This window comes from Homo sapiens, chromosome 2 (assembly GCF_000001405.40).
Source record: "Homo sapiens chromosome 2, GRCh38.p14 Primary Assembly".
Classification (NCBI taxonomy): Eukaryota; Metazoa; Chordata; class Mammalia; order Primates; family Hominidae; genus Homo; species Homo sapiens.
In genome coordinates, this window is record NC_000002.12 from 22137919 (window position 1) to 22144525 (window position 6607).

The window sequence follows — 6607 nt, forward strand, 5'->3', positions numbered from 1 at the left end:
GGAGAGAGAAAATGATATGGAAATAATCTTCCAGAAGAATGGGGGAATTAATGGGCATGGGAGTTGTTACAAGAGGGCCAGGAAGCTTTAAAATACAAATTCGCATAGATTTTTATGTAAGTATTCTAGGTAATGTAACTTTTAAAATCAGAAAACAGTACCTTTCTGATGCTAATAAAATTTATCATGTTGTGAGAATTCTTGAGGAAGCAAATAAATACGTTCATTGTCTTTAGCATGCTTATAACACTCTGCCTCCTCTAAGATGGTTTCCTTGGAAAGCCAAATAATTATTTTCATTGTTTCATTATTGATAAAAATAGATTTGATTCGTCCTTTAGATATTTACTCATAACATACATATTCAACTACACAAAGAAATGTCATGTTATGGTCGGGCGCGGTGGCTCACGCCTGTAATCCCAGCACTTTGGGAGGCCGAGACAGGCAGATCACCTGAGGTCAGGAGTTCGAGACCAGCCTGGACAACATGGTGAAACCCCATCTGTACTAAAAATACAAAAATTAGTGAGGTGTGATGGTAGGCGCCTGTAATCCCAGCTACTCAGGAGGCTGAGGCAGGAGAATCGCTTGAATCCAGGAGGCAGAGGTGGCAGTGAGCCGAGATCGTGCCATTGCACTTCAGCCTGAGGGACAAGAGCGAAACTTTGTCTAAAAAAAGAGACATTATGGTACATATATTTCATTTTAAAGAAAATTATATTCATGTTGCTTCAAACCAAATTATCTTTCCATTGCTTATTTCCTATCTGTCCTCTGGATTTCAGTGGCAAAGAGGGCAAGAAGACTGTCTTCAGCACCATTCAGCCTTCAGGCCCTTATGGTCAGGGCACATGCTAAGATACCAAAAAGCATATGTTGAATATATAAATTAATGAAATTAAGACAGTAAATCTGAATATACTGTATGAATAAATACCTGAGGAGGGAAAAGTATCCTATATATTTTCCATTTCTATATCCTACTCTGCTTTGTCAAAAGTGGAGACTTAATAAAATTTGGATAAACTTGATTAACCTATTCAAAATAATTTGACTATAAGATATATGTAGCATTAGATTATCATGGGAATACAATATAATGGAACTCACAGATAATTTTACTAGATATTATTTTAAAAGATTAAGAGAAGTTTTCAGCTCACTGAATTTCAGTCTTCAGCAAATAAAGAAAATGTCATTAATTATTAATAAAAGCCTTTTCATTTATTAATCTGTGAATTGTATGTGCAGAGATGAATCATTTGTTAATAACAAAATGTGAATATAAAAGATAACACACCCAACCATCAAGTTTGCTGAAGAAAGTAAAGTTCTTACCTCTTCTGGGAATACATTTCTTTATGAAAAATGAATATGTTGAGGATGGAGAAATTGGACATGGATGAGGAAGTTATGACATTGACACATATTCTCTATAAATACTGAGATTTAGTCTGTTCATCATTCAATAAATATTTGTTAAAACTTGAGTTACAGAATCTCGTATCAGTGATCAATAGAACATAATGTGAGAAACATGATAAATTAAATGATTGATTGTTCATATTTTCATGGCTCACACATCTACTGATACTGAAAAAAGTGGTTTATTTATTTAGGATCATTAATTACAAACTTCAGAACCATTTAGGGATAAAAAAAACTTGCAAGTTAATCTTCTGCTGTCAGTTTTTGAATAAATTACTAAAGAAAACTGGTAAACTGGTTAGCTGTGGAATTAAATTTCAAGTTACTCATATCGACTTTAATGTGAGAGTTTACTTATTCATTTAATAAAACAAGCTGTTGTAGAAAATTATTTATCTATTAAATATAAGCAGGTGTATTATTTTAAAATTCAAAACATCTAAATATGTATGGTTTTTATTGAATTAAATAAAGTAGATATATTTTGCATTATCAAAAGTCATACTTAAATATAACTGTAATTGGTTAAGTGCTATGTAAAAATTTGTTAACATAACTAATTCTATCATACTGATTACTTAATAACTAAAAATTTTGCAAATATAGTTTACTTTGTTTTGGTGCTAATCTAGATAATATTTTGAAGTAAACATACAGTTCTCTGTAGATGGTACCTCTCCCTGATAGGGTGAAAAGACAGCTGGTAAATATATTAAAATAATTTTCTCTGAAAACAATGATGGTTTCAATAGGTTATTGCTACTCATTGATTATGACTAGAATCTCTTTAAAGAATTACTTTTGATGGCAACCTCACCTCACCTGACTGTCCCATGTGGGATGTGCAAGTTAGGGGACATTCACCTTCTTTTTAGTCTATTTTCCATAAGTGGGGCTTTGCAAGGATAGATTATATTTCCAAGCTCTCCAAAAGCTTTCAGTTAAGTAGAATGTTTAAAATTATTCAGCTGTATATTTAATATGTCCACCATTACACTCAGCACTTCTAAAAGGATATTGTCTTGCTCACAATTTGTTGGACCATTTTATGTATTTTTGAATGCCTGCTCTGACATTGAGCTGTCATCTATTTCTGTTTGAATTAGCTCTTGGTTTTAGGTCTTGCCTTTAAGTCTATGGAATCAGTAGCACAGTTTCATACCTATGTCATAGAGCCTACACCATTTTCCCGTAATACCATCACTTTGTTAAGTAGAGTTTATCATATTGCTCCAACATAGGCAGAGATGCTCTATAAAGACAACTTAACCTTTCTGTTACTTCTTACTGTTGACAATTCCCCCAAAATGAACTCATTCCGAGAATCACCATATCACCCCAACCCTCATGAGAAAAAGCCTACTTTCTCTGTGCTCTGTGCACAGTCAAAAGCAATGAAATGCATGTGTGCTCTGCAGTCAGCCTGTGTCTCAAAGTAAGAGAGAAAGGAGGGTTGGCTACCTGAATTCAGGTCCTCTCTCAAACTCACTAATATGAGAACTTAATCCACCTCTATATGGGAATAGTAAAGGGCAAGATTTGGTGTAATCATAAGGCCTTAAACCACATAAGAAAACACTAATTTGAGAAGAAGTATTTTCCTCCAAATATTCCATGTCTTTCCATCTCTTAATTCACTGGGTTTGGCCATTAAGCTTATAGTCAACCAAAGATGTGGTTACTCTGAAGGAAATTGGCATTTATGCTCTGCTCTGATGAAACCACTTGCCCCATAATAAAATTATCCCCCTTGATTATCTTCCTAAAATACTACTGGAGAATATAGATCTTGCCCCTACAAACCTAAAATAGATTAGAACAGTACATTAATCACATCTATAATAGATCCATACTGTATCCAAGGCTGGAAGTGTTCCTATTTCCCATTCCAAAATATTTTAAGCAACTTTGTCCAAAGCAGTCTGTCAGAGATTCTGTAATGAAATCAAATGACAACATCAAGATTTATGCAAATGCCAATAAAGATATCACCCAATTTAAATACAAATCGTTTTATCAGATTTTCCAAAATAAAATTGTGTCAAAGCCTGAGAAAATTAACAAAAATATTTTATTTTCAAGTCAATCTTAGAAAATGTTAACTCTGTTATCATTTCTTATATTATTATATTTATTCCTGAAAATATGAAGTTAGACATTTTGGTGTTCCTTTAAAGGGAGAAAAGACAAAGGAGAGGGAAGAAATGGAAAAGGAGGGAATGAGGAAGGCAGAAGAAAAAAGAGGAGGAGGAGAAGGAAAAGGAAACAGGAGGAGGAGGAATAGGGAGAAGAAGAGAAGAATAAGAGAAAGAAAAGGAAGATGGGCATGCCCATCTCATTCTCCAGAACGGTTGATGTAATCACACTAACTGAGGACACAGCATCAACATTTACTTTTTTCAGTTGCCCATACTCTGGCCCTAGCAAAGTTCCAGAATGGAAATAATGGGCTACCCTATCTTCGGTCCTGCAATTCCTCAGAGCATTCAAGTGCCTGATTTTCTATTATCAAGTTTTCTTTCTCCAGTCTGTGTCCACAACATTTCTACTGATGCTGCATTCTCCTGACAGTGGGGTGTTTATATCGATGACAGGCAATTCTACAGGCAAAATACATTGATTCATAATTTGGACAACTTCAGTTATTTGCTCTCCAAATAGTGCTTGACCTCATTCAGTCATATTTGGGTGTCTTCAATTTCCTGATATCCCTAAACATCTATCAACCTAATTCTGCCTGTTCTTCCAACTTGGATGTTGCCCTCCCACTATTCCTTAAGGCTCCTCTTGATTTATAAACGTGTCATTGTTTAGATGGTTGAGAAAGCAGCTATGTTTAATTTTCTCTGTTGAATGTTCTTTTATGTTTTTCTTTATAATATACATCTCAGACTCTACTGGGGTCCTCTATAGCAAGAAATGTGTTGCTTTCATTTCTGTTTCTGTCAAAATATTTCTGCCTTGTTATCCCGAGCAGTGTAATTCCATCTAAGAGTTATTCCTCTCTCAATCCAAAATGTAGCTCCAGCCCAGGTTCAACTTGTTGAAATCTGATAGTCTCCCCCTAGTTCATATCATTTATCTTTTATCTTGCCTCATACTTGTAATTTCATAAAATTACCATAGCATATTGCCTGATAAAACACTTCATACCTGTGTCTCTATTCACAATGATCAATTTACTTTGAAACTCACTCAACAATAATTTGAGGATTTTACACTGTTACTCCTGGTCTTTTCCTATTGCATTTGTTAAAATAGTATAGAATCTGTTGTTATAATTATCACAATATTCAAGAAGGCAGTTTTCCACTAGCACTTAACGTGTACTTTATCTGTTGCTTTGAAATGGCATTTTAAAGTAATTTTCTGATTCTTAGATCTATCTGTGGAAATCATTTCAGCTTGATCACTGTCATCTTTATTGTATTATTCTGTGAGGTTTTCTTAAGCCCCAATCACTTTTGCTGACCCTGTTATCAAGAAAAAAATTTTCCCCTTGTTCAGAAAAAACCTTAAAAGTAGTTAAGTTTTGGTATATAGTGTCCTCAGTATATTTTTATATCCTTTTCATTTGAATTATGGCCTTTAAAACCTTGTCTTTGAAATATATATGTTTATATAATTTCTATAAGTATATGTTTATATATGTATTATACATTTATATATGCATATATTTATGTAAATATATATATTTATATATAAAGAGAATATACATTATAGGGAATATATGTATTATATATGTGTATTATATACATTTATATGTATATACACTTATATGCATATATACATTTATATATTAGAGAAAATATATAAATATATATATTCTTTTAACTTATTTTCCTAAATTGTCCTCATTTTCAAAGATAGACGTTTCTTAAAACACCATCTCATATTCATCGGAAACCTTCTTCAATTTCTCTGCTACTTTCCTATGCCCTAAGACTGTCCCTGTGCCAGGCTAATAGTCCCAAGATTAACTCACCCAGGTGTAAACTTTCTTGAAGAATAACATTTAAAGAGGTGGTTAAAATGTTTATGATCAGCTCTCTTCTACCTTTATCCAAGTGAAGGTTATATATCCAAACCTCATAGGAGGCTCCATTTTTATTTTATTCAATTACAAAATGTATTGAATTACTGTGACTAGGGCTGCTATTTGGATCTTCAATATTCACAAGCATAATCAACTGATAAGGAATACAACCTAAGGGGTATGTTAATATAAAAATAAAAAATCAAAACATGTAATTTCCTAATTGATCTTACCTCGCCCTGGTGAAGGATGGTAAGTAAAATCTCAGAGATTTGTAAAAAAACTCTTAGTGACCTACATACCTGGCTGAAAATTAAAAGTTTCGTAAGTACACAGAAATTACTCTAAACAAATATTAAAGAAAGCCATGAAGATAAGACACCATGTGCCCTGGATTCTTCAGTATTTGTCCACTTGCAACATTATGCTTCACAATTCTTCTCAAGGTTTACTACCCATATGTAAGGACATGAGGACACACTACTGAAACTGCCAGCCTTATCAGTGGAGGGAGAGGGGTCTATCCCAATCAACCTTATGACATAGAGTAGAGTATCTGCCAACTTCCAGGAGAAAGGAAAGAGAAAGGAGGTGGATCTTACATGCTTGTTATTGTCTTTCAAAACTCACTAATAAGGTAAGCTCTCCTTCCCCTCCTGGGAGGAGGTAACAGAGGGGCAAGTGAATGGCCAGGAGTGTTATGCTAGTGAGGATTCTGCTATACAGATGGAAATAACAGGATGGGCACAGGAACAGTGGGTAGGGAACTGCTCTGCTTTTAAAACTTGTAAACACACTAAGTTATGTTCTTCAAGAAAAGGCTTTTGGCCAATGGAAGGAATTTACACATTAAGCTCCATTGTGTCTTCAAACTCCTTGTATCAAAGAAAATGCATTTGGGCCTACTACTAACAAAAATATAAGAGAAGGAAATTCAATTATAATGAGAGGACCTGTGGCCATTGGATCCTGCTGTCTTGTTAGTGTGACCCAGAGCAAGGTCTTCTTATCTGTGTAGATTCTGTTCTGAATGTTTATGATCCATTAAGAGATAAACTTTCATGTTACCTGCTGGAGCCACCTATAGATCTCTGCTGCTCCGGAGGCTGTCCATAGTGGTGAATATAGATACAAACTTTC

The 6607-nt window shown here is 34.2% G+C and overlaps 1 annotated feature.

Annotated features, from left to right (window-relative positions):
• Positions 5834-6357: an enhancer, noted in NCBI's record as "NANOG hESC enhancer chr2:22366624-22367147 (GRCh37/hg19 assembly coordinates)". NCBI's record gives its function as "activates a minimal SCP1, AML or CMV promoter by ChIP-STARR-seq in naive H9 embryonic stem cells {active_cell/tissue: H9 hESC(naive)}" and the evidence as "EXISTENCE:reporter gene assay evidence [ECO:0000049][PMID:30033119]".